Here is a 25,873-nt window from a genome sequence, read left to right on the forward strand (position 1 = left end):
AAGTCTTTGGGAGTTGTATTAATATCACTAGGATTTTTTCTTGAAGAGGTTTATTTATTTATTTATTTATTTATTTATTTATTTTTTGAGACAGAGTCTCGCTCTGTTGCCCAGGCTGGAGTGCAGTGGCGCGATCTCCCCTCACCGCAAGCTCCGCCTCCCGGGTTCACGCCATTCTCCTGCCTCAGCCTCCCAAGTAGCTGGGATTACAGGCGCCCACCACCACGCCTGGCTAATTTTTTGTAATTTTAGTAGAGACAGGGTTTCCCCATGTTAGGCAGGATGGTCTCGATCTCCTGACCTCGTGATCCACCCGCCTCAGCCTCCCAAAGTGCTGGGATTACAGGCATGAGCCACCGCGCCTGGCCGAGGTTTATTCTTTGATGAAACAAATTCTTGAGTAAATATAATTCTGGAAGAGATTAAAACCCTTCCAAAGTGGATTAGGAGATAATAACTAACTAACTTTCCAGTGTTTAGGATGGTGCCTAGCATATACTAAATGCTTATAATGCATCGTCTCTTTGAATCTTAACCTTTAGAGATACCATTATCCAACTTTACAGATGAGGAAATAAGTGATTATATATAACCCCTGGGTTACCCAGCTTACCAGTGGCAGAGTTGAAAATAGGGAGTTTCAGTCTAGAAAATGCTCTTAATTCCCATAATAAGGGCAAGAGAATCTCGATATGTGATGGTGTGTCCTTGTTTAACATTTATAAGATGGTGTAGCAAATAGTGGTTAGGGTTCTAGCTCTTCCACTTACTAGCTGTGATATTGGTCAGTTAGGCTCAAGAATCTGTCTCAGAAAGACAGTAACTGCTCAAATTATAGCTTATATCACTTATGGCAGTCCAGAATTAAAGCAGGCAGTAATTAAGGTGGAAAAGCCTTCAGTCACTTTAAAAAGCGTTAGGCTCACTTCAGTTGGATTAATTCCTACCACAGCACACAGATAAACATCTGGAGAGAAAACAAGACTTACGGCCCTAGAAGAAATCAAACAAGGATGCTGCATTGTACCTTTTAATTGCATGGGTAGTTTTAAATAAATGGAGAAAGCACCTTTCAGAAGCTACACTAGCAGGAAAAAATTCCATCAAGCATTTACATAGTAAATTTCTATAATTTCACAAAAGATTCTTGATCTTACTTGAAGTATACATGAGGGAAAGAGCCCCCTCAGCAGGTGTTCCCGTTGCTTACAGAAGCAAACTAAAGGACCTAAAACTGGAGGCAAGCCAGGATGCCAAAAAGGGGGAAGAGAAATGATAAAGAACCATTCATAAATTCCATGTCTACTTCAAGACATTTGTCTAATGACCCTTACATAATAAGTATTTTAGGGAAAACTACCACCCTTTTAAGATAAAAGTACAATCTTAAAAGCTGTAGTTCTCAATTATAGTAATATTTCTTACTTCCAGTAATATGTCTCAATACCTTGGACTGCTGGATGTCAAAAGACAATACCTGGGGGTCATCTATGAGATCTGAACAAATAGAGGAATTCTCTAGGACTGTATACTCTCTATTTTGGCTTTTTGAATGAAGTACAGACAGGCTTCTCTGCTATCCTCCAGGCAGTGTAATAGTCAAGGAAAAGGGCAACAGTATTGGATCATTCCTTAGACACTAATCAGCTGGGGAAAGAGTTCATTGGCAAAAGTGTCCTCCCAAGAATGGTTTACACCAAGCAGAGAGGACATGTCACTGAATGGGGAAAGGGAACCCCCGTATCCACAGTCACTGTAAGCATCCAGTAGGCAGGAAGATGGCTTTGGGCAGTGGCTGGATGAAAGCAGATTTGAGATACCCAGCTCCGGAACGAGGTCATCTTCTACAGGTTCTTCCTTCACTGAGACAATGAATTCAGGGTGATCATTCTCTGAGGGGCTGAGAGGTGCTTCCTCGATTTTCACTACCACATTAGCTTGGCTCTCTGTCTCAGAGGGTATCTCTAAGACTAGGGGCTTGGTATATATGTGGTCAAAACGAATTAGTTCATTAATGGCTTCCAGCTTGGCTGATGACGTCCCCACTGACAGAGAAAGGGAGGCTGGTAAGGAACTGGGTCCTTCTGGGTAGACCTCTGGGAGCTCCTCCAGGCTGGCAGGCTCTGGGGAAGGGCATTTGAAGAACATGACTGGGTCCAAGTTGTCCAGAATGCCCAACAGGATATCAGACTGTAAGAGGCAAAAATTAAATGAAGTACAACTGTCAGAATACAATGGAAAATCTAACTGGAACACTTTGTACTGGGTTCCATAATGTAAATTAGTCATTATGTGATAAGATGACCTCGGGACCCACCAGACCCATTTATCTACACTTCACTCCATGTTCTATATTACCTGGAACTAGGAAGGTAGTTGATGTTCACCTCCAACCCCACCAAAAACTAACTTCAACCCTCATCTGTCTAGTTAGGGATGTCAAGCATCAAACAGATGGAATTAACTGGTTATATAGCTCTTTAATAAGTCAGAATGATCCCTACCTCTGAATCTGAAGAGTCAATACCGCCAGAATCCATGGGGAGATGTTCTGGAGGGGTGACAACTGGGCCTGCACCTGCTGCAGAGGTGCACGTAGTCTGAGTGCTGCGGACTCAGCAGACCCGGCCACTGGCCTCACTTCATTCCCCTGGGAGGAAAGACCAAAGTGAATAAACAGCTTCAAGTGCCCAAGGAAATGCTTGCTAGACAGCTGTGATTCTCAACTTTAAAGAATTACTTTTCAAAAAGATTCTAGGGTTAAATTGCTATAGAACTTTATTATCTAACAACATTATTATTATTGAGAAGAGCAAGATAAGATATTTGCCAGTTCTGCTTGAATCTTTGCCTGGAGGAGGAAAAATGTTTCATTGTGCAGGAAATGTATAAGGAAGCCTTACCTCCCTTTTCTCATCTCTTGAGGACTTAAAAGTGGAAATAACAATGGTTAGGGAAAGATTTCAGCTGTAAAGAATGGTTTTCTAGTTTTCTTGAAATTTGTCCTGAACATTACCTTCACAGAGTAAAACTGTGCTACTGTCAATCTTAGACCATTTGATTGTTGTCACTGAATTTGCCATAATCTGTAGACTAAAACTCACATACCACCCTTCTCTTACCACAGAGGTATCACTATTACAAAGAATCCTTTCCCTACTCATTCATATTCATCAAAGAACTACTTTAATTTTAGTAGCGTTCAAAATCTGGTTTGAGTGGCTCTCTTACTTTGGTTCTCCTTAATGATTGCATGGTAATCTTGTTGGCTACTGCATTTGTTAGTACTTGTTCTTAGGGAGCCATGTAACTTGTTTTCATTATTAGATCTTAGTACTGTTCACTACACACTTAAAAAATGAGTGTCAAGTGCCTTTAGGGGAAGAACACTCTGCCTGCATGAAAATGTCTTAAAACTGAAGGAAAATTTCAAGAACGCTCTTGATCAGAAGTCCAGACTGTAAACATAATCGCTGGGTCATGTCACTTGGAACCAGTACTCACATGAGGCACCAAATAAAGGAGATGATTTACCTTGGCTTCCGCCTCCTCTTCAGCAACCAGGGCATCCATCCCCAAGCGCTGTCTTAACTCCTGGTTCTCAACTACAAGGCCATGAGTTTTCTCTCGTAAAAGCTGATTTTCTAGCAAAAGTTTTTGGTTCTGGAAGAAAGTTCATAAGAGGCTATTAAAACATCTAATTATTTCAGTTAAGAATCTACCTGATTCAGTATAATTGGTTTCCTTTCCTTCTTGAACTTTTGGAAAACTCTATGCTTGTGGTGTTCATAGTAGGTTTTAAAAAGCTAGGCCATAATTATGGAAAAGCAAGCTACTTAATAAGTGCCACTTCATGGGGTCAAGAATAACACACTGCTTCCAACTACTAATACTGACTTCAGCAAAGGGTGACTTGTGGCTTTAATGTAGATATAATTTTTTTTTTAAACTATCTTGGCCAGGCTCGGTGGCTCACACTTGTAATCCTAACACTTTGGGAGGCCAAGGCAGGTGGATCACCTGAGGTCAAGAGTTCAAAACCAGCCTGGCCAACATGGCAAACCCCCATCTCTACTAAAAAATCCAAAAATTAGCTGGATGTGGTGAGGGGTGCCTGTAATCCCAGCTAATCTGGAGGCTGAAGCAGGGAGAATTGCTTGAACCTGGGAGGCAGAGGTTGCAGTGAGCCGAGATTGCACCACTGCACTCCAGCCTGGGCAACAGAGTGAGACTCCATCTCAAAATAATGATGATGATAATAATAATAATAATAATATAAAATAAAAATAAATAACTATCTTGAACTGGCAGGTAATAATAAAAGTGGTAGTGGTGACTATAAATCCAAAATAAGTTAAAAAAAATCCCTGCTCCTGACTCATGATTCTTAGAAGAACCAACTAATGATTAAAACTTTAAAAAGCTCAATATATGCAAATTGACCAAGGGGTTAAAAAAACAATATAAATAATCTCTATGTATTCAAGATGTGTAATTGGCAACAATTTAAGATTGATTAACAGGTGGACCCTAGAGGGGGAAAGGAACCTTTAGTGAATTTCTGGCCATGCCAGGAAGAATGTAAAGTTTAAGCAATTATTTCCTATTAGCCCTTGCTAATTTCTTACTACAAACTCAATAAACATTGTTAAATCCATCTACTTTGAGATACATCTAGCACCAAATGCCACAAAGTCAATCACTTCTGCCCTCAACAAGCTTCACCACTTCACCAACTCTCTGTCCTAACTTAGATTAACTTTTTTTTTTTTTTTGAGACAGGGTTTTTGCTCTGTCGCCCAGACTGGAGTGCAGTGGCATGATCTCGTGATCTCAGCTCACTGCAACCTCCGCCTCCTGGGTTCAAGTGATTCTCCTGCGTCAGCCTCCGGAGCAGCTGGGATTACAGGTGCCTGCCACGACACCCGGCTAATTTTTGTATTTTTAATAGAGATGGGGTTTCACCACGTTGGTCAGGCTGGTCTCGAACTCCTGATCTCAAGTTATCTACCCACCTTGGCCTCCCAAAGTGCTGGGATTACAGGTGTGAGCCCCGGTGCCCAGCAAACTTTTTTTTTTTTTCTTGAGACAGAGTCTCACTCTGTTGCCCAGGCTGGAGTGCAGTGGTGCGATCTCAGCTCACTGCAACCTCCCTCTCCCAGGTTCAAACAATCCTCCCACCTCAACCTCCCGAGTAGCTGGGACTACAGGCACTCACGCTTGGCCTTTTTTTTTTTTTTTTTTTTGGTATATTTTTGGGTAGAGACGGGATTTTACCATGTTGGCTAGGCTGGTCTCAAACTGCTGGCTTCAAGTGATCTGCCCAACTCAGGCTCCCAAAGTGCTGGGATTACAGGCATGAGCCACCATGCCCAGCCTAGTTTAACTTTTAATCATATATTCAATTGTATTCTAATAGGGGCTGAAACAACTTGGGATGGGAAGCAAATATCAGAACATTCACCAAGGAAGGGTATACAATGGATAAAAGAGTTTGACCTTAAGTAGTTTTACCTCTTCTTCTAAATCTACCACTTGCTGTTCCAGCTCACTCATTCGAGCCTTCTTTCGATCTCTGGCAGTCTGAGCTGCTACTCTGTTTTTCAGTTTCCTAGGAAGAGAAGGAACATACCACACTGAGTCATATCAAACCTTATTTATGTCTTTATTTGAAAACTTTACCAGCTGGTGCTTTCATTTTTATTTACAGTATAAGACAGACTAATGATAAAATACACTTCAGGCTCCTCCCCTCAATAAAACAAAATAAAAAATACAGTCTTCTGTCAATCTAGCTCGAAGACCTGCTTTATTCTCTCCTATATTGCATCATCCGTCCACCTCAGACTCATCCCCGTCACAGCACTGGGGCTGGACACACACACTATTCATCTTGCATCATAAGGAACTTTCCTCTTTCCCCATCTATTCCCCCGCTGCTTCCTGTCTCCAGTTCTCTTAAACAGGATCCAACCTGGCCTCATTAATCTAGTGAAGGCTGCAATCTTGCTATGACATCAACCCTCCGTCCCCCAGTCCAATTTAGAAAAGGGAGAGGCTGATGCCACTCCCTGATCTCTAGTGTTGAGATCCTAGGCAGTGACCTGCTGATGGGTCCGTGTCTGTTGGAGGAGACACTTTTTTTTTTAAAAGAATTAACTCAGAAGAGACACTTCATAAATCACAGAAGGCACAATGATCACAAAAGAGTGAACATTTACGGAGGACTAAGTGCTAGGCACATTATATCCAAGTCTCAATCTCCCCAAAGACCTCATGAAGTAGGTTCCATTTTAAGAACGCAGATACTGAGCTAGACCAGTGAGCCTCGCAGAATTCCCAGCCCTTTCAACAGCTCTGTTATTTCAGCTCCGCGCCTCTCCAGAAATAGCAGTAAACCAAAACAGATTATTCGACCTCATGTCCGAGTTAAGAGGCTGAACCACCAGTCTGCGGCCACACAGCAAGAGGGCCTGGAAGACAGGTGCCCGCATCCCCAGCTCTGGTCATCTCTAACGAGAGAGTTAAAAAGTACAGAAAAGAGCCCTGGGCCGCCCTAGGTTCCCAGCGTGGCGGATCCGGTCAGTCCGGGCTTCCTGCCCCGCCCCGCGCCACGCTGGCACCGACCCGCCAGGCCAAAGGCGACGGAGCCCTGCGGGGCGGCCAGTGCTGGGTCCCCGCTCCCAGCCCCTGCCCCTGCCCCTGTCCCTAGTCCCGGCTTCAGATCTGGCCCCAGACCCCGGCCCCTCGCCCACCTCCTCAGCGCCTTCTCCTCGGGGCTCAGGTGCGTGAGGCGCTGTCGCTTGCGCGCCTGGGGCAGCCCCCCGCTCGCTGCCTCCGGGCTGGCCCCTCTCTGGGCTGGCACCATGAGCGGCAGGGCCTGGCCGGCCGGGGCTCCGGCGGCGGAGGCGGGCTGCCCCGACAGAAGCAGAACTTTAGGGGTCCCGTCGGCCGGGTTCGGCGCGGCTGCCACCACCACCATAGCTCCAGACTACGCACCGCGCACCGCGCGCCGCAGCCGCCCAGCGCCCAGCCTCGCCGCGCCCGGCCTTTCTACGGTCGTGGCCCTCCGCGATTGGCCAGCGTCGCGTGACGCACGGCCGAGCTCGGCGTCCATTGGTCCGGCCTGCCCGGCGGGGCGTTTCAGGACCGTGGCTATGGAGTCCGGCGTGGCAGCGGCAATCCCTGGCCAAAGGTACTTGGGGTCATTTTCCGCGGGGGGTTACGTGCGGGAGCGTGTCCTCCACAAACGGATTTTCCCCCCTTAAGCGGACTTATTTCCATCCGGAGTGACAGAATTTAATTCCAAACCGAGAGCTTTCCAGACTGACGAATTTTTACCGGGACTAACAGAGAATTACCTCAGCCTGACAACATTTTATCTCGTGCGCCACTTCGGGATCCGAGTGGAGCCGAAAGTCGAGATAGAGCGCAGTTGGGCCTTGGGTTCGAAAAGACTGGACAGAGGTTTCAGTGAGCCGAGATCGCGCCACTGCACCCCGGCCTGGGCGACAGAGCGAGACTCCGTCTCAAAAAAAGAAAAAGAAAAAAGCCTGGAAAGAAATTCTGCGGAATAGAAGTCTTTAAGAAATGAGATCGTGCCCTTTAAAACTAAGTTTAACAATAGTGAGGGCTTAATAAACGATAGGTGTTATCTCTGGGTTGGAGGGGAATACCTTCAATTTTAGTTTTTCGTTCCATTTCTAAAGTTTGTACTATGAGCGTGCATTTTTTTAAATTTAGTTTTATTTTATTTTTTAAATAGAAACGAGGTCTCACTGTGTTGCCCAGGCTGATCTCGAACTTCTGAGCTCAAGTGAACCTCCCGCTTCGGCCTCTATTATTTTTATTTTATTTTTTTTTCTTATTTTTTGAGACGGAGTCAGGCTCTGTCACCAGGCTGGAGTGCAGTGGCGAGATCTCAGCTCACTGCAACCTTCGCCTCCGGGTTCAAGCAATTCTCCTGCCTCAGCCTCCCGAGTAGCTGGGACTACAGGCGCCCGCCACCACACCCGGCTAATTTTTTGTAGTTTAGTAGAGGCGGGGTTTCACCGTGTTGGCCAGGATGGTCTCCATCTCCTGACCTCGTGATCGCCCGCCTCGGCCTCCCAAAGTGCTGGGATTACAGGCGTAAGCCACTGCGCCCAGCCTCTTGTTATTTTAAATGAGGGGACAGGAAAACGTCACATGTAGAGACTGAGACCCCGGGGTTGACCCTGAGCCCCCTCTCCGAGGGGAGGTCGAGGTTCCTGCCTGGCCATTGTGGCGTGAGGGTGGCCAGGTGTTTGTGAAAGAGGGGCCCCCAGAGAGCAGCACGGGAGCGATTTATACACACGAATATTAACATGGAGAAGTCCGAGAAACCCCCGTAAATATGCCTGTCCACTTTTTTTAAAGCAAATTACAAAATGTGAAATTCCCCAGAAATGCACAGCAATACCTTCTCTAACAAGTAATTATTGCTTCCTCCTCTGCGGGCAGCACTATTCCAGGTTCTAGGGGTGCAAACAGTAGTAAGACTGCTACCTGGTATTTGGAGGATATGCAAAAAGTGAAATGTTAAGATAGCAGGTTCCTAAGTAATTCTTTAGTGTTATTAAGTCGGATTAGCTGGTCAATTTTATTTTGGTAGGGAGGGAACAGGATGGGAAAAAGAACTAAAAGCAAGTCCATCTCTTGATATCTAAGCCCTCTAAAGGGACATAGTTTTGGTTTTTGCCAGGACTGGGCCACGAGTCTCCTAACGTGTTTTCTCCCTCTTCGTTGGGAGGGAAATCAATGATTTTTTTTTTTTTAACTGGGCTGTCCCAACTCCAGAGCCTCCTGAGCACGTGCTGTCCTGTGGGTTGGAAAAGAGGTGGGGGTGATTGGAGTCTCTGCCGGACCAAGAAACCAACTTCCTGTTTAACTCTCATCAGCTTGGGCCACCTGGGTTCTGATGTGCCTTCAGATGTGGGGAGACTTACTCCGGGCCTCTGAAATGTTTTGGGAGAAGTCTGGAGGTGTCTTCTAGCCGAGACCTATAGCTTCATATTAAAAGACCTTGGAAAGCTGTAAGAGGCTGTTAGAAAAGTCATGTCATGTCATGCCACCTGTTACGTTTTATTTTTTGATGCCTTTTTTTTCCTTTTTTTTTTTTTTGAGACTGGGTTTCGCCACGTTGCCTAGGCTGGAACTCCTAGGCTCAAGCGATCCTCTTGCCTTGGCCTCCCAAACTGCTGGGATTGCAGGCAGGAACCACAGAGCCCGGCCCTTTTTATTTATTAAGTGAACATTTATTAATGCCAAGAGAATGTCTTTCACTGTGTAAGAAAGAAAATGCTGGAGGACCCTTTTAGTCCAGCAGGGTGTAGTGAGTAACTGAGTAGAGAAAGCACAGGGTGCGGGATGGGGAAAAAAGGTTGATGAATTGCACTTTGATCTTAGTTAATGCGATATTGAAATTCACTTCCCCAGCTTGTTTTCAAAACTTTTATATTTTTGACAAACACTTTAAATCATACTAAAAACAATAATTTGACCCACTACAGATTGCTGTCCATGCAGTCTTGAACATGTGAGTCCAAACCCTTGGACAGTTTCATATCCTCTCTATAAAATGAACCTGGTAATTCTTGCATCAGGTGCCATAAGTGTTTAAAAATATTTACTAGACACCTGTGATAAGAGCTATAAAATATATAAATTACAAAGTTCTCGGTCTTTGAGGCCAAACGCGGTGGCTCACCCCTGTAATCCCAGCACTTTGGGAGGCCGAGGTGGGCAGATCACCTGAGATCAGGAGTTCGAGACCAGCCTGGCCAACATGGTGAAACCCAGTCTCTACTAAAAATACAAAAATTAGCCGGACATGGTGGGGGGCGCCTGTAATCTCAGCTACTGGGGAGGCTGAGGCAGGATAATGTCTTGAACCTGGGAGGCAGAGGTTGCAATTAGCCAAGATTGTGCCATTGCACTCCAGCCTGGTCAACAGAGTGAGACTTTCTCAAAAAAAAAAAAAAAAAAAAAAAAAGTCATTATTCAGAAAGAATCAGTCAGGAAAGGGTGGACAAAACAGGAACAGAAATAAATAGGCATTCCAGAAAAGGGAAAACAGAAAAATACTGTACACTGGTAAGCAGAAAACAGAAAATAACATGGCAGGAATAAGTCCAAATATATAAATAATAAAACATAAATGTGAATGGGTTATATTATCTTCTTAATCATGCTGTTTTGTTTTATGTATGTCTCTTTATAAACAACATATAGCTGGCTTTGGGGTTTCTCAGAGCTCTCTTTTAAGAAGAGAATATAAATCATTTGTATTTATTTTTGATTATTTATTTATTTGGACTTATTTCTGCCATGTTATTTCACATTTTTTGTTTACTATATTTCTCAAGGCAGGAGGATTGCTTGAGGCCAGGAGTTCAAGACCAGGCTGGGAAACATATTGTGACCTTGTCTCTACAAAAAATTTAAAAAAATTAACCAGGCGTGGTGACTTGCACCTGTAGTCCCAGCTGCTCGGAAGACGGAGGTGGTAAGATCCCTTGAACCCAGGAGTTCGAGGCTGCAGTAAACTATGAGCTATGATTGAACCATTGTACTCCAACCTGGGAGACAGAATGAGCTCCTGCCTCTAAAAAACAAAAATTTTTTTAAAAAAAAGGAAAATGACTTACCAGCCATTTTTATGTTTATGGAAATGTTTATGGAAAGAAAGCATATGTAGCAATATTAATATGAGACAGAATTTATCATAAAGGCATTAAAAGGACAAAGAAGGGTATTTCATGTTGATTGAAGGTACAAGTTACCATATATACATCTTTATGAACATAGCAACATAATTTTGAAATGTATAGGCCTAGCATGTCGGCTCACACCTGTAATCTCAGCACTTTGGGAGGCTGAGGTCAGGGGTTCAAGACCAGCCTGGTCAACATGGCGAAACCCCGTCTCTATTAAAAATACAAAAATTAACTGGGCATGGTGGCACGTGCCTGTAATCCCAGCTACTGAGGAGGCTGAGGCACGAGAATTGCTTGAACACGGGAGGCAGAGGTTGTAGTGAGCCAAGATCGAACCACTGCTCTCCAACCTGGGTGAGGGACACAGCAAGACTCTGTCTCAAAAAAAAAAAAAAAAAAAAAAAATTAGCTGGGCTTGGTAGTGTGCACTTGTAGCCCCAGCTGCTCGGGAGGCTAAGGTGGGAGGATCATTTGAGCCCAGAAGATTGAGGCTGCAGTGAGCCGAGATGGTACCACTGCATTCAAGCCTGGGTGACAGAGTGAGATCCTGTCTCAAAAGAAAAAACAAAAGAAAATTGGCTGGGCACGGTGACTCATGCCCGTAATCCCAGCTCTTTGGGAGGCTGGGGCGGGGATCCCCTGAAGTCAGGAGTTTGAGACCAGCCTGGCCAACATGGTGAAACCTTATCTGCCGAGACCAGCTCGGTCAGGGAGACCCTAACCCAGCAGTGCTAGAGGAATTAAAGACACACACACAGAAATATAGAGGTGTGAGGCCGGGCGCGGTGGCTCACGCTTGTAATCCCAGCACTTTCGGAGGCCGAGGCAGGCGGATCACGAAGTCAGGAGATCAAGACCATCCTGGCTAACACGGTGAAACCCCGTCTCTACTAAAAATACAAAAAATTAGCCGGGCGTAGTGGCGGGCGCCTGTAGTCCCAGCTACTCGGAAGGCTGAGGCGGGAGAATGGCGTGAACCCGGGAGGCGGAGCTTGCAGTGAGCAGAGATCGTGCCACTGCACTCCAGCCTGGGCGAGAGTGAGACTCTGTCTCAAAAAAAAAAAAAAAAAAAAAGGAAATATAGAGGTGTGAAGTGGGAAATCAGGGATCTTACAACCTTCAGAGCTGAGAACCCTGAACAGAGATTTACCCACATATTTATTAACAGCAAACCAGTCATTAGCATTGTTTCTATAGATATTAAATTAACTAAAAGTATCCCTTAAGGGAAACGAAGGGATGGGCTGAATTAAAGAAATAGGTTGGGCTAGTTAACTGCAGCGGGAGCATGCTCTTAAGGCATGAATTGCTTATGCTATTGTTTGTGGCTTAAGAATGCCTTTAAGCAGTTTTCCGCCCTGGGCAGGCCAGGTGTTCCTTGCCCTCATTTCCGTAAACCCACAGCCTTCCAGCTTGGGCGTTATAGCCATTATGGACATGTTACATTGCTGCAGAGATTTTATTTATGGCCAGTTTTGGGGCCAGTTTATGACCAGACTTTGGGGGGCTTGCTCCCAACAGCTATCTCTACTAAAAATAACAAAAATTAGCTGGGCGTGGTGGTGGGCGCCTGTAATCCCAGCTACTCAGGAGGCTGAGGCAGGAGAATCACTTGAACCCGGGAAGGGGAGGTTGCAGTGAGCCGAGATCGCACCATTGCACTCCAACCTGGGCAACAAGAGTGAAACTCTGTCTCAAAAAAAGAAAAGAAAAGAAATGTATAAAACAAAGACTGAAATGATGAAAATGATCCACAAATCACAATGGGAGATAAATACAATTCTCAGAATCAACAGAGGGAGCAGACAGAAAAAATTTGAACAGTACAACTTTCCTCCCAACCAAGGACTTATGTTTTTTCTTTTTTTCGAGACAGAGTCTCCCTCTGTCACCCAGGCTGGAGTGCAGTGGCGCGATCTCGGCTCACTGCAAACTCCGCCTCCTGGGTTCAAGCAATTCTCCTGCCTCAGCCTCCCGAGTACCTGGGATTACAGGCGCCTGCCACCATACCCATCTAATTTTTGTTTTTTTAGTAGAGACGGTTTCACCATGTTGGACAGGCTGGTATAGAACTCCTGACCTTGTGATCCGCCCGCCTCGGCCTCCCAAAGTGTTGGGATTACAGGTGTGAGCCACTGTGCCCAGACAGGCCTATGTTTTTTCAATTAAGAAACATTCTCACTTTTTTTTTTCTTTTTGAGATGGAATCTCGCTTTGTTGCCCAGGCTGGAGTGCAGTGGCACGATCTCAGCTCACTGTCTTACTGCAACCTCCGACTCTTGATTCTCCTGCCTCAGCTTCCCGAGTAGCTGGGATTACGGGTACAAGCCACCAAGCCTGGTTGATTTTTGTATTTTTAGTAGAGACAGAGTTTCACCATGTTGGCCAGCCTGGTCTGGAACTCCTGACCTCAGGTAATCCACCTAAGTTGGGCTCCCAAAGCGTTGGGATTATAGGCGTGAGCCACGGGACCTGGCGAAATCTTTATATTTTCATTTCTCTTAGGTAAATACCTATAAGTGGAATTGCAGTATCATATGGTAAATACTATGTTTAAATTTTTTAGAAACTTAGCAGCTTTCCAAAGTGGCTATAGGTTATACCATTTTACATTCCCACCAGTGATGTACTGCTTTTTTATATTGCTATTATAGATTGTTATTTAACTCTTTCATGGTTGTCCAACTTCTTATTGTTTATGTTGTATGTTTTTCCCAACTGGATTTCAACAAGCTCATTAGACGCAGAAGCTAGGGTTATTCGTGGTTCCATTTTTTGTGTGTTCTGTGCTTACGATAGTGCTGAGTACATACTTGGCATTCAATAAATATTTTCGAATGACTATTGAATGGTTACATTATCTGCAATATGCTTTATTTTATTTTATTATATTTTGAGACAGGGTCTTACTCTGTCACTCAGGCTGAAGTGCAGTGGCATGATGTCGGCTCACTGGAGCTTTCGCCTCCCGGGTTCAAATGATTCTCCCGTCTCAGCCTCCTAAGTAGCTGGGATTACAGGCATGCACCATCATGCCTGGCTAATTTCTTTTGTTTGTTTGTATTTTTAGTAGAGACGGGGTTTTGTTACATTGGCCAGGCTGGTCTCGAATTCCTGACCTCAGGTGATCTACCCGCCTCACCCTCCCAAAGTGCTGGAATTACAGGCATGAGCTACCGCTCCCAGCTGAATGAACTCATTTTTTTTTTCTTTTTTTGAGACGGAGTCTCACTCTTGTTGCCCAGGCTGGAGTGCAATGGCGCCATCTCAGCTCACCCCAACCTCTGCCTCCTGGGTTCAAGCGATTCTCCTGCCTCAGCCTCCCAAGTAGCTGGAATTACAGGCATGTGCCACCATGCCCAGCTAATTTTGTATTTTTAGTAGAGACGGGGTTTCTCCATGTGGGTGAGGCTGGTCTTGAACTCCCAACCTCAGGTGATCCACCCCCCTCGGCCTCCCAAAGTGCTGGAATTACAGGCGTGAGCCACCGCTCCTGGCCCTGAATGTACTCATTTTAAAGCACTAAGGCAACAGTTCTAGTTACCTACACGGCACCTATTATACTTTTTCTTCCTTATTAAAAAAAACTATTTTGTTCAAGATGCCCACTTGAAAACACTCAGCTTCCAGACTCCCTGGAGTTTATGGATAGTTACATAATGTGGTTCAGGCCAATGTATACATACGTGGAAGTTCTGGGCACAGACGATTCCAGGAAAGTTTGTTAAGTGGAGGAGACTCAACTGGGAAGGCTTTCACCTTTTGCCTGTTGCTCTTTTCCTTTTTTCCCCTCTTCCTTGCCTGGAATGCTGATGAAACTTCCAAAGATTGAGAGGTTCAGCCGCCATCTCACAAATATGCGGATTGGAGTCACATGCTAAGGACGTCAGAGGGGAAAGACAGAAGGAGTCTGGGCTCCTGATGGCACCATGGAGTGGCCATTTAGCTCTAGACTGCCCATTTCCAGATGTCACATTACATAAGAATTATAATTCCTGTGGTAGCTGGGTTCTTGTTACATGCCATTAAATACAGTCCTCGCTTTTACTGACAATTTTTTTTTTTTTTTTGAGACCGAGTCTTGCTCTGTCGCCCAGGCTGGAGTGCAGTGGCGCAATCTCGGCTCACTGGAAGCTCCGCCTCCTGGGTTCACGCCATTCTCCTGCCTCAGCCTCCCGAGTAGCTGGGACTACAGGCATGCGCCACCGTGCCCGGCTAATTTTGTATTTTTAGTAGAGACGAGGTTTCTCCATGTTTGTCAGGCTGGTCTCGAAGTCTCAACCTCAGGTGATCAGCCTGCCTCGGCCTCCCACAGTGCTGGGATTACAGGCGTGAGCCACCACGCCCGGCTTACTGACAATTTTACCTGCCACATTGCCCTTCCTTAGATTTCCCAAGTACCGTCTTTGTTCTCATCAATAAGCTACCAGCACTGCTGAGGAACAGGTAGGCTTGAGCAGGACAATTAGAAGTAGGTGGGACCCAGGCACACAATTTTTATCAGTGGCACTTTCTTCTGATACCAGGAAAAGAGGTGAGTCATTCCACATTATAGCATCACTATTTTGTGAATGGGAAAATTAAGGTTCAAAGGGAAAAAATAATCAGCTTAAGCATACAGATTACATCTCCAGCTTATCTGTCCATCCCTCACTCCTGTCTTACCACTTCCCTGAATTATTCTTCTCTGTTTAGTTTGCCTGGTAAACCCCATTTCTTCTGTTTGTTTAAACTACAGTTTCTCAACCTCAGTGTTATTGACATGTGGGGCTGGACAATTCTTTGTGGTGAGGGGCAGCTCTGTCCCTTATAGGATGTTTAACAGTATCCCTGGCCTCTGCCCACCAGATGCCAGTGGCACCCCTCCCCTCCTCCAAGTTGTGACAACCAAAATTGTCTTTGGACATTGCAGAATGTCCCCTGGGGGCCAAGATCTCCCCCACTGAGATCACTACTCTCAAGTCAGGTCAAACACCACTCCAATCTATACCTGCTTTGTTCCCACATGTCCCCCACAAACTTCCAACATAACAGCTGCAGCACTGTTACCTGTCTGTATCTCCAGATTACACTGTATGGTCCTTGAAGGCTCTTTGACTCATTTCTGCATCTCCCTGTTTATTGACTAAATGAATTTTAAAATTGTTCGGGAAGCCAGGTGTGGTGGCTTGTGCCTGTAGTCCTAGCTACCTGGGAGGCTGAGGCAGGAGGATTGCTTGAGCTTGAGCCCAGGAGTTCATGGCTGCAGTGAGCTATGATCATGCCACTGCACTCCAGCCTGGGCTATAGAGCGAGACCCCATCTCTAAATAAAGTAAAATAAAATAAAATAAAAATGGCTTGGGCAAAGAATAGGAATATAATTCAGGAATTCTGGGTCCCTGATGCCATGATTTCAACACTCATTGTAAAGGACTCGTGTCCTATGCCTTTGCTTGGCATTGTATTTTATAGATTCCAATGCTAGAGTCAAGAGGCAGATTCTAGCAAGGAAGGTATGTTGCTCATTGTTTTAAACATACCAATTAATGGAAAAAGAGGCCGGGTGCAGGTGGCTCACGCCTATAATCCCAGCACTTTGGAAATCCGAGGCGGGCATATTCCAGGAGTTCTGGACCAGCTTGGGCAACGAAGTGGGACGCTGTCTCTACAAAAAATACAAAAATTAGCCGGGAGTCATGGTGCATGCCTGCAGTCCCAGCTACTTGGAAGGCTGAGGTGGAAGGATCACTTGAGCCCAGGAGGTCCAGGCTGCAGTGAGGCATGGTAGTGGTAGTGCCACTGCACTCCAGCTTGGGTGACAGAGAGAGACCCTGTCTCAAAAAAAAAAAAAAAAAAAAAGAAGAAGAAAAAGGAAAAGAATGCAAAGAGTTTAGGAAAACCTTTTATATTCTTACAAAGAAAAATGAAAAACTCTTAAATGTTTTGGGAGAGAATGAAGAGTAAATTTCTATACAATATTTTTGTTTCCTTGATGGAATCAAAGTTGAGTCAATCTCGCAGAAAATGCTGTGTACCCTCTTCTCAGTTCTAACTTCCTCGAATGTTGTCATCTTAAATTATTGTGTTACAGCCAGGCGCGGTGGCTCACACCTGTAATCCCTGCATTTTGGGAAGCCAAAGTGGGTGGATCACGAGGTCAGGAGTTCGAGACCAGCCTGGCCAATATGGTGAAACCCTGTCTCTACTAAAAATGCAAAAATTAGCTGGGCTTGGTGGCGAGCGCCTGTAGTCCCAGGTACTCGGGAGGCTGAGGCAGAAGAATCACTTGAACCTGGGAGGCGGAGGTTGCAATGAGCTGAGATCGTGCCACTGCACTCCAGCCTGGGCGACAGAGCAAGACTCCATCTCAAAAAAAAAAAAATTATTGTGTTACATTTGTCATAACCAAGAAAAGGTCTTAAAAAAAAAAAGAAAGAAAGAAGAAAAAAGAAAACAACTTGAATGCATAGGACTTCATTATTCTCCAGAAATGGATGAAGTCATTTTGGTTTGCTAGGACTACTGATCCCGTATTTCCAATTTTATTAGTATATTTCTAAAGAAAGACATCTACAAACCGTTCAAATAACGTTGAGACGCTGAGTGTGTGGGCAGGAAATCCTCTTGGTTATGTTGACGGGTGTTTCCTTCGGTCCTGTGGCTGCCCACCACTTTCTGGAAAAAAAGTTGCAAAACTTCCTGAAGTTCACTTGTGTGCACTTGGGTTCTAAGAAATTCAGTACCTCTTTGGCATCTACAAAATGCTGCAGTTCATTTGCCCAGTCAATTAAAAATGACACTAAAAGGGCATGACAACAAAAGGAAAAGATTCATTCAAAAAATGCGAAGATATCGCATGGCTCTTTTTCACTTGGCACTGACCTGGCTCTGCATCTGGTTTTGCTTTTTTTTTTTAAAAGAAAGCACAAACTCTCCATTGTTGGTAACTATTCTTTATGCTGAGGTTCAAAGGTAGCAAGAGAAGCAAGCTTTATCTTGTTTGAGAGAAGCTTAGCCGGATGCGGTGGGTCATGCCTGTAATCCCAGCGCTTTGGGAGGTTGAGGTGGGCGGATCCCTTGAACTCAGGAGCTCAAGACCAGCCTGGGCAACATGGTGAGACCCCATCTCTACAAAAAATACAAAAAATTAGCCAGCCATGGTGGCGTGCACTGGTAGTCCCAGTTTCTCAGGAGGCTGAGGTGGGAGAAACACCTGAGTCCAGGAAGTCGAGGCTGCAGTGAGCTGTGATCATGCCACTGCATTCCAACCTGGGCAACAGAGTGAGACCCTGTCTCCAGAGAAAGAAGTTTAAGTGTTACAAGCCCCCTTCAGTATTCCTATAAGAAAGAAAACCAGTTCATTGGTACTGAAATTTTAAACTTTTTATTTTGGCATAATTTAAATGTACAGAAAAATTTCTTTTCTTTTGAGACGCAGTCTTGCTCTGTCACCCAGGCTGGAGTGCAGTGGCACAATCCCAGCTCACTGCAACCTCCTAGTAGAGATGAGGGTTCACCATGTTGGCCAGGCTGGTCTTGAACTCCTGACCTCATGTGATCCACCCGCCTCGGCCTCCCAAAGTGCTGGGATTATAGGCATGAGCTCAGCCAAATGTACAGAAATGTTTCAAAGCTAGCACAGATAATTCTCAGGCACGCCCTCACCCGGTTCCGGTTTCCCCTAATGTTAACAGCTTACACCACTGTGGCACATTTGTCAAAACTGAGAAACCAACACTGACACATTGCTAGGAACTAAACTCTAGTCTTTATTTGGATTTCACCAGTTTTTCCTTTAATGACCTTTTTCTGTTCCGGGGTCCTGCATTGATGTTAATTACTTGGCTTCCGGATAGTACACCTACTTTTGCAGAATGTTTCATGTTTAATTTCAGCAAACCGTATTTATCTGAAGAGCTTAATTTACTCAAGTTCAGTCTTCTCAGACACACACCCTGGGGCTTTGACTGCAAAATGGTAACAACTGATCCCTCCCTCCCCCTTTGGTGAGGTGGCTTAGGCTTTAGGTGATGCTGAGAATTTGTGCATGATCTGGCTTGTAGGAGACTGAATTTCCTGAGAATGAATTAGGGACTCTCAGCATTTTAAAAAATATCCTGTTTTTGTTTTGTTGTTTTGTTTTGAGACAAAGTCTCACTCTATCACCCAGGCAGGAGTGCAGTAGCGCAATCTCAGCTCACCACAACCTCTGCCTCCTGGGTTCAAGTGATTCTCCTGGGTCAGCCTCCTGAGTAGCTGAGACTACAGGCACCTGCCACCATGCCCGGCTAATTTTTTTTTTTTTTTTAGTATTTTTAGTAGAGACGGGGTTTCGCTATGTTGGCCAGGCTGATCTTGAACTCCTGACCTTAAGTGATCAGCCCGCCTAGGCCTCCCTAAGCACTGGGATTACAGGCGTGAGCCAATGTGCCTGGCCAAAATATCCTCTTATTTATAGCTGACTTTGCACATCTGATATTCATGTGGGATAAGATAGCAAGCTGTACTTTTTCTGTTCTTTCTTTTTTTTTTTTCCATGAAAACAACCAGGATTTATGTGGTTCCAAGAGCCAGCTGGATAAAATATAGACCCATTCTGTTTTGTTGAATAAAGGTGATATGAGAAGAAAAAACCTCCAGGAACAGAGGAAGAAGTATAATTATGTTTGCCTCAGAGAAAACCGGGAGAGAAACCATTCATCTTCCATTCATTCGTCTTCCATTCCCAGACCTTGGAAGAGTAGTCACTGTAACATGGGGGCTAGAAGCATTGGCTTATGAAATAGACAGGCATAAGTAGGTTTTCAGCTCCACCACCTAGCTAGGTAACCTTGGACAAGTTGCTTAACCTCTTTGAGCCTCAGTTTCCTTGTCTCCAAAATGAGGGCTGAGCTTTGAATAAGATCCTGTATTTAACACAGCACATGACATAGAGAAAACACATATTTGTTACCTATTATTATTTCCAAAGACAGTCCACCCTAATTACCAACAGGCATTCCCAAACTCTTCTTAGTCTATCATTAATCTCATCCTTTCTTCTATCTTTAGATATTTGGTAGCCAAGGGCTGGGCGCAGTGGCTCACGCCTGTAATCCCAGCACTTTGGGAGGCTGAGGCGGGTGAATTACTTGAGGTCAGGAGTTGGAGACCATCCTGGCCAACATGGTGAAACCCCGTCTCTACTAAAAATACAAAAATTAGCTGGGCATGGTGTCGTGCACCTGTAATCCCAGCTATTCGGGAGACTGAGTTAGGAGAATCATTTGAACCTGAGGAGGCAGAGTTTGCAGTGAGCTGAGATCGCACCACTGCATTCCAGCCTGGGTAACAGAGTGAGTGAGACTCTGTCTAAAAAAAAAAGAAAAAAGGAATTTGGTAGGAAAGAAGTTTGACAGTTCCCAGAGGTCTACGTGAAACAGTAGGGTACTCATGTCTTCAAAATATGTCTAAGTATGTATAAAATTTGATCACTGGTCACAAGCAGAAATGGGGTCCACAAAGCAGGAAAAATGTCACAGCGATGAACCTTGGATAAGCTTTCTCCAGTTGCTCCCTCCTCCAAACTGGAAAGAAAATTTCCATCTGACCAATGAGTGGGCTGGACCTGGTCACAGGCTGCCAAGTATCTGCCCTGTTAGTGTGACCTGGAACAAAATTCCCAGCAGAGGACAGCAAACATTTGCTGAGCACACAGACCTGTGACCCTCCTACATGAAATTCTAGGGGCAGGGTTTGAATTACGCCATAACTGGGGCTTGGTGGCTTATGGGGAAGTGCTCTATACTAAACAAAGTGTGTGAGGCAGTCAGGCCTGGGAAAGAAGAGGTTGGCATCTACAATTTGAAAATGTGACTCTGCTGTTTTATTTTTATTTTCAGAGACACTGTCTTGCTCTGTTGCCTGGACTGGAGTGCAATGCTGCAATCATAGTTCACCATAACCTCAAACTCCTGGGCTCAAGTGATCCTCCCACCACAGCCTTCCAAGCACACTGCCATGCCCAGCTAATTAAAAACAATTTTTTTTTTTTTGGTAGAGATGGGAGTCTTGCTATGTTGCCCAGGCTGGTCATGATTTCCTGATCCCTAGTGATCCTCCTGCCTCAGCCTCCCAAACACACCACCACACCTAGCTAATTTTTTTCTTTTTTCTTTTGTTATTATTCAGCTCTCTTTATAACTGGCTTATTTTTATTATTTTTTGTAGAGAAGGGGTCTTGTTATGTTATCCAGCCTGGTCTTAAAATGTGACTCTGTTGTTTTATACAAAACACAATCATTTTCCATTTGAAAACAAGTTGTATTTTCCAGCATAAAATTCCAGATTTATAGACTATATTATAGTCCTTAGGACCCATAATGTGTTTCCAAAAAATACTTGCCAATGTCTGTACTTTCAGTGATCTGTAACCTCTTGGAGTAGTGGAGAGTTTAAGCAACTTGTCCAAGTTTACCTAGCTAGGATGTGGTGGAGCTGAAAACCTACCTTTGCCTGTCCACTTCATAAGCCAATGCTTCTAGCCCCCACATTACAGTGACTATTCTTCCAAGATCTGGGAACGGAAGATGAATGAATGGAAGATGAATGGTTTCTCTCCCAGTTTTCTCTGAGGCAAACATAATTATACCTCCTCCTTTGTTCTGGGAGGTTTTTCTCTTCTCATCTCCCCTCCATTCACCAAAACAGAGTTGGGTCTATATTTTACCCGGCTGGCTCTTGGAACTGCATAAATCCTGGCTGTTTTCATTTTTAAAAAATTATGAGATTAACTACCAAACTTGAGATGTAAGTTGTGGGTTAGCTCTCGATTCTGCTAGATAACCTGGAACAAAGCATTAACTTCTTTGAGAGCTTCCTTTTTTTTCCTTCATTGCTGTTGTGTGTTTCTACCAGAAAATGTGGGAATGTGCGTGAAGACGACCTAGCAGAGTGCCTGGCACACAGGAAGGAGCTTGTTGAATGTATAGTTCCGGGCTCCAAAACAAAGGCAGCCCATCTTAGCCTGAGCCACTCTGACTTCACTCTAGGAAATACTGCCTAGATATCTAAAGGAAAGTGATAGCAACTGCAACCAACTGTTTCTGAGGTCTGCCTGCCCACCAATGGCCCCCTCAGCACATGGGAACACGTGTGGAGGTGCCTGGAACAGACACTGACTCAGCGGGGTTCTGTACAGAGGCAGTGCGGGTGAAGAAATGAATGCAGATTCCCCAACAATCCAGAGGTATATGCAAGAGGAGGGGCAGGGGTTCTTTCAAGTCACCTTCCAGGTGACCAGGTGCCTTTACAACTCTAAGGCTCTGTGAGTATGTTTTTTTCTTACCTTATGGAATAAAGGGAAAAAGAAGACAGCTGCCCTGGGTATGGCTTTGGGTCGGAATAAACATTTCTCAAATTGAAGTGTTTCAGCAATGTCTTGAAAAATCAGATTTGTTCAGGATTGCTGGAAGTGCATTATTTGATTCTAAGTTTCACTTAAAAGTCTTGGGGAAGGCCAGGTATTGTGGCTCATGCCTGTAATCCCAGCACTTTTAGAGGCCAAGGCAGGCGGATCGCTTGAGCCTAGGCATTCAAGACCAGCCTAGGCAACGTGGTGAAACCCCGTCTCTACAAAAAATACAAGAATCAACTGGGCGTGGTGACACATGCCTGTAGTCCCAGCTACCGGGGAGGTTTGGGTGGGAAGAGGGAGGATGACTTGAGCCCAGAAGGCTGAGACTGCAGTGAGCTGAGATTGTACCACTGCACTCCAGCCTGGGCAACAGAGCAAGACACTGTCTCAAAAAAACAAAACAAAACAAAAAGTCTTGGGGAAAATCACTGAAAACACAGTTATCTTTCTTTTCTTTTCTTTTTCTTTCTTTCTTTTTTTTTTTTTTTGAGACAGAGTCTTGTTCTGTTGCTCAGGCTGGAATGTGGTGGCACGATCTCAGCTCACTGCAACCTCCGCCCCCCGGGTTCAAGTGATTCTCCTGCCTCAGCCTCCCTAGTAGCTGGAATTTCAGGTGCACGCCACCACGCCTGGCTAATTTTTGTATTTTTGTAGAGATGGGGTTTCACCAGGCTGATCTCAAACTCCTGACCTTAGGTGATCTGCCTGCCTCGGCCCCTCAAAGTGCTGGGATTACAGGCGTGAGCCACCGCACCCAGCCGAAAACACAGCTTTATAAAGGGATTCCTCTGGCCTGGTGCAGTGGCTCACACCTGTAATCCCATCACCTTGGGAGGCCAAGGCGAGTGGATCACCTGAGGTCAGGAGTTTGAGACCAGCCTGGCCGACATAGTGAAACCCCGTCTCTACTAAAAATACAAAAAATTAGCCAGGTGTGGTGGCGTGTGCCTGTAATCCCAGCTACTCAGGAGGCTGAGGAAGGAGAATCGCTTGAACCCGGGAGAGGGAGGTTGCAGTGAGCTGAGATCATGCCACTGCACTCCAGCCTGGGCAACAAGAGAGAAATCTGTCTCAAAAAAATAAATAAAAACTAAAGGGACTCCTCTAATCTTGACCAAGGGAGAAGGGAGTGTCCCACATTCTCTCAGGTACCAGCATGAGAGGGAGAACAATTTGGTTTTGTGCAGACTTAAGGTTCTCCTAAAATTCACCATCCTTCACCTGTGCTCTATCATTTGCATTCAATGCTTTTTTATTTGGTGTCCAGAAGCTGGGTCATGACAACTGCAATAAATTGATATTTCTAGCATCATGATCGTAACCACTGCCAGAAAACCTTGGATTTGGGGTCATGCATTCATCCTGAACGCTGATGCCTTTATCTTGCTCTCAGGGGACCAGAATCCAGAAGAGGAGAGAGACATGCAAATAGTTCCAATGCAGTGTAACTGTCACCATCCCTAAGTGGTGGTACTGAGGAAAGAGAAAGACACCTAACTCCCCAGGGCCATCAGGGAAGGCTTCGTAAAGGAGAGGATGTTCAAATAGGCTTTGAAGGATGAGTAGGAGTTTGCACAGAATTTAGCTTCTTTTCTTCATGCCTCTTTTCCCTGCCAAAGAAGCTAGAAGCCACCTGCACCTGAGATAGAATCTCAAAAAAGCAATAACAGTTCATCTAGTGCTAAAAATTACTTGAAACTAAAGAAAAAAATATATTCAGCCTTTAACACCTGCTACTGTCCCCAAGGCAGTATAAGAAGATCCTTCTAGATTTTTTTTCTTTTTTTTTTTTTTTTTTGAGACGGAGTCTCGCACTATTGCCCAGGCTGGAGTGCAGTGGCACAGTCTTGGCTCACTGCAACCTCTGCCTCTCAGGTTTAAGCGATTCTCCTGCCTCAGCCTCCCAAATAGCTGGGGTTACAGGCACCCACCACCACACCTGGCTAATTTTTTGTATTTTTAGTAGAGACGGGGTTTCACTATGTTGGCCAGGCTGGTTTCAAACTCCTGATCTCAGGTGATCCACCCGCCTCAGCCTCCCAAAGTGCTGGGATTACAGGCATGAGCCACCATGCCTGGCTGATCCTGCTAGATTTCTGTCTCTACTTATTTTAACTCTTGTCCTTTGTCTCTTTCCTGCCTTCACTCCAGCCCCTTCAAGACTCCCTTAATATTTCTCTTTTAACCAACTTTTTTTTTTTTTGAGATGGAGTCTCGCTCTGTTGCCCAGGCTGTAGTGCAGTGGTGTGATCTCAGCTCACTGCAACCTCCGCCTCCCAGGCTCAAGCGATTCTTGTGCCTCAGCCTCCCGAGTAGCTGGGATTACAGGCGCCCACCACCACGCCCGCCTAATTTTTGTACTTTTAGTAGAGACGGGGTTTCACCGTGTTGGCAACTCTGGTCTCGAACTCCTGACCTCAGGTGATCTGCCTGCCTTGGCCTCCCAAAGTGCTGGGATTACAGGCGTGAGTCACCTCACCTGACCTTAATAAACAACTTGTTTTAAAAATGGGAGGCAGGATGTGTGTATGTGTGTGTGTGTGTGTGTGTGAGAGAGAGAGAGAAAGAGAGAGAGAGAGAGAAAGAATATCCTTCCCCCACCTCTGCAATTGGCCTTAAATTTTACACACTCACCACCCCTACTTCCCTGCTTTGATGCTGTCCCTAAAGCAGTGGGAAAGAGCTTCAGGTCTCTGAGCTTGACCAGTGTTTCAGCTCTCCCTTGGAGTCCCGGGAAACGTATCTCTTGGGATCAGGAGCTGGGATGGAACCCAGGGCTCCTGAGATGGGACAAAGCTATGCTCTGTGCACCTGTCTTGCCTCCTCACTTTGTACAATGAGGTAGGCAACCTTTTGTATTTCCTCTTGTTTTCTTTCCTCACCCCACTTGGCGTGGCAGCCATAAATCCAGTTTCCTCCTTGGCATTTCTTAAATGTGTTCTGCCTGAATTAAAAACTGAAAGGGGGGAGGCCCAGTAGACCTTGAAATGTTCAGCTTGCTTTCTGTCCTTGGCCACTGGCTTGACAGGTCCCACAAGCTCTCCTGGGAGAGTGAGCAGCTGACGAAATCCCAGAGGCCCTGAAACCTCCCTTCCAGTAAGTGCCCATGTTTGCATATCCTGGTTCAAGAATAGGAACTGCTTGATGGAAACTGATCAGGGAGCTAAAATTACTGATTAAGTGGATTTGCTTCCAGCTGCAGGCAGTGGCCTTCCTGAGAAAGAGGGAATCTGTAGGGCTGTTTTTACAGATTAAGATCTGCCTTGTTTGTTCACTTTCTATTTCTAAAAGTTCTTGGAACCCTTTTCTAGGAAGAAGCCAGGTAAAGTCAGAGTAGGGAAAAACAGTAAGCCTTGTTTTTGTCCTCTATACTTTAAAGCTTCCTTTATTTTCAAAGAGACATACATGAGATATCTGAAATAAGTCAGCTTTAGGAAGGATAGCTAACGAATGTTGGATGTATGCTAGGCACTGTGTGAGCACTTGGCATCCATTCTCTCTTTGGTTCCCGCAAGTTAGGAATTGGCCCCTTTTCTCAGAGGAGAATGAGGCCCTGTGAGGTTAAGCTGATGACCATGAAATTGTCAGTGGTGGAACTGGGATCTTATTATTATTATTATTTTGAGACAAGGTCTCACTCTGTCGCCCAGGCTGGAGTGCAGTGGTGTGATCACAGCTCACTGCAGCCTCTACTTCCCAGGCTCACGTGATCTTCCCACCTCAGCCTCCCAGGCAGCTGGGACTACAGGTGTAAACCACCA

General features: G+C 45.1%; 1 protein-coding gene across 4 annotated transcripts, besides 7 other annotated features; it reads right to left on the reverse strand.

Annotated features, from left to right (window-relative positions):
- XBP1 (X-box binding protein 1) lies at window positions 1,018-7,027 on the reverse strand. Of its 4 annotated transcripts, none has more exons than NM_001079539.2 (6): window positions 6,756-7,027; window positions 5,515-5,611; window positions 3,535-3,663; window positions 2,612-2,650; window positions 2,505-2,585; window positions 1,018-2,190 (listed from the first exon to the last, which is right to left on the reverse strand). In NM_001079539.2, exons 1-6 carry the CDS (start codon window positions 6,980-6,982, stop codon window positions 1,633-1,635), a joined length of 1,131 nt encoding a protein of 376 aa, NP_001073007.1. In that variant the 5' UTR covers window positions 6,983-7,027; the 3' UTR covers window positions 1,018-1,632. The 4 variants fall into 4 exon arrangements, with proteins under 4 accessions (NP_001073007.1, NP_001380928.1, NP_005071.2 ...); NM_001393999.1 differs by lacking the exon at window positions 6,756-7,027 and adding an exon at window positions 6,418-6,535; NM_005080.4 differs by having other exon boundaries at window positions 2,505-2,650.
- Window positions 6,573-7,152: a silencer, noted in NCBI's record as "silent region_13581". NCBI's record gives its function as "represses an Ori minimal core promoter by ATAC-STARR-seq in GM12878 lymphoblastoid cells {active_cell/tissue: GM12878}" and the evidence as "EXISTENCE:reporter gene assay evidence [ECO:0000049][PMID:35858748]".
- Window positions 7,203-7,412: an enhancer, noted in NCBI's record as "active region_18808". NCBI's record gives its function as "activates an Ori minimal core promoter by ATAC-STARR-seq in GM12878 lymphoblastoid cells {active_cell/tissue: GM12878}" and the evidence as "EXISTENCE:reporter gene assay evidence [ECO:0000049][PMID:35858748]".
- Window positions 7,203-8,088: a biological region, named in NCBI's record as "H3K27ac-H3K4me1 hESC enhancer GRCh37_chr22:29196765-29197618".
- Window positions 7,235-8,088: an enhancer, noted in NCBI's record as "H3K27ac-H3K4me1 hESC enhancer chr22:29196765-29197618 (GRCh37/hg19 assembly coordinates)". NCBI's record gives its function as "activates a minimal SCP1, AML or CMV promoter by ChIP-STARR-seq in naive H9 embryonic stem cells {active_cell/tissue: H9 hESC(naive)}" and the evidence as "EXISTENCE:reporter gene assay evidence [ECO:0000049][PMID:30033119]".
- Window positions 8,089-8,942: an enhancer, noted in NCBI's record as "H3K27ac-H3K4me1 hESC enhancer chr22:29197619-29198472 (GRCh37/hg19 assembly coordinates)". NCBI's record gives its function as "activates a minimal SCP1, AML or CMV promoter by ChIP-STARR-seq in primed H9 embryonic stem cells {active_cell/tissue: H9 hESC(primed)}" and the evidence as "EXISTENCE:reporter gene assay evidence [ECO:0000049][PMID:30033119]".
- Window positions 13,817-14,632: an enhancer, noted in NCBI's record as "NANOG-H3K27ac-H3K4me1 hESC enhancer chr22:29203347-29204162 (GRCh37/hg19 assembly coordinates)". NCBI's record gives its function as "activates a minimal SCP1, AML or CMV promoter by ChIP-STARR-seq in primed H9 embryonic stem cells {active_cell/tissue: H9 hESC(primed)}" and the evidence as "EXISTENCE:reporter gene assay evidence [ECO:0000049][PMID:30033119]".
- Window positions 14,633-15,448: an enhancer, noted in NCBI's record as "NANOG-H3K27ac-H3K4me1 hESC enhancer chr22:29204163-29204978 (GRCh37/hg19 assembly coordinates)". NCBI's record gives its function as "activates a minimal SCP1, AML or CMV promoter by ChIP-STARR-seq in primed H9 embryonic stem cells {active_cell/tissue: H9 hESC(primed)}" and the evidence as "EXISTENCE:reporter gene assay evidence [ECO:0000049][PMID:30033119]".

This window comes from Homo sapiens, chromosome 22 (assembly GCF_000001405.40).
Source record: "Homo sapiens chromosome 22, GRCh38.p14 Primary Assembly".
In the NCBI taxonomy this organism is placed as follows: domain Eukaryota; kingdom Metazoa; phylum Chordata; class Mammalia; order Primates; family Hominidae; genus Homo; species Homo sapiens.

What these genes read in the sequence shown, in the direction of transcription:
- XBP1 (NM_001079539.2), bottom strand. Translation starts at nt 6,982, where the DNA reads ATGGTGGTGGTGGCAGCCGCGCCGAACCCGGCCGACGGGACCCCTAAA. An exon ending in GAGGAGAAGGCGCTGAGGAG is followed by an intron (nt 5,612 to 6,755) that starts GTGGGCGAGGGG and finishes TTCTCTTCCTAG; the next exon opens with GAAACTGAAAAACAGAGTAG. An exon ending in AAGAGGAGGCGGAAGCCAAG is followed by an intron (nt 2,651 to 3,534) that starts GTAAATCATCTC and finishes CTTTCCTCCCAG; the next exon opens with GGGAATGAAGTGAGGCCAGT.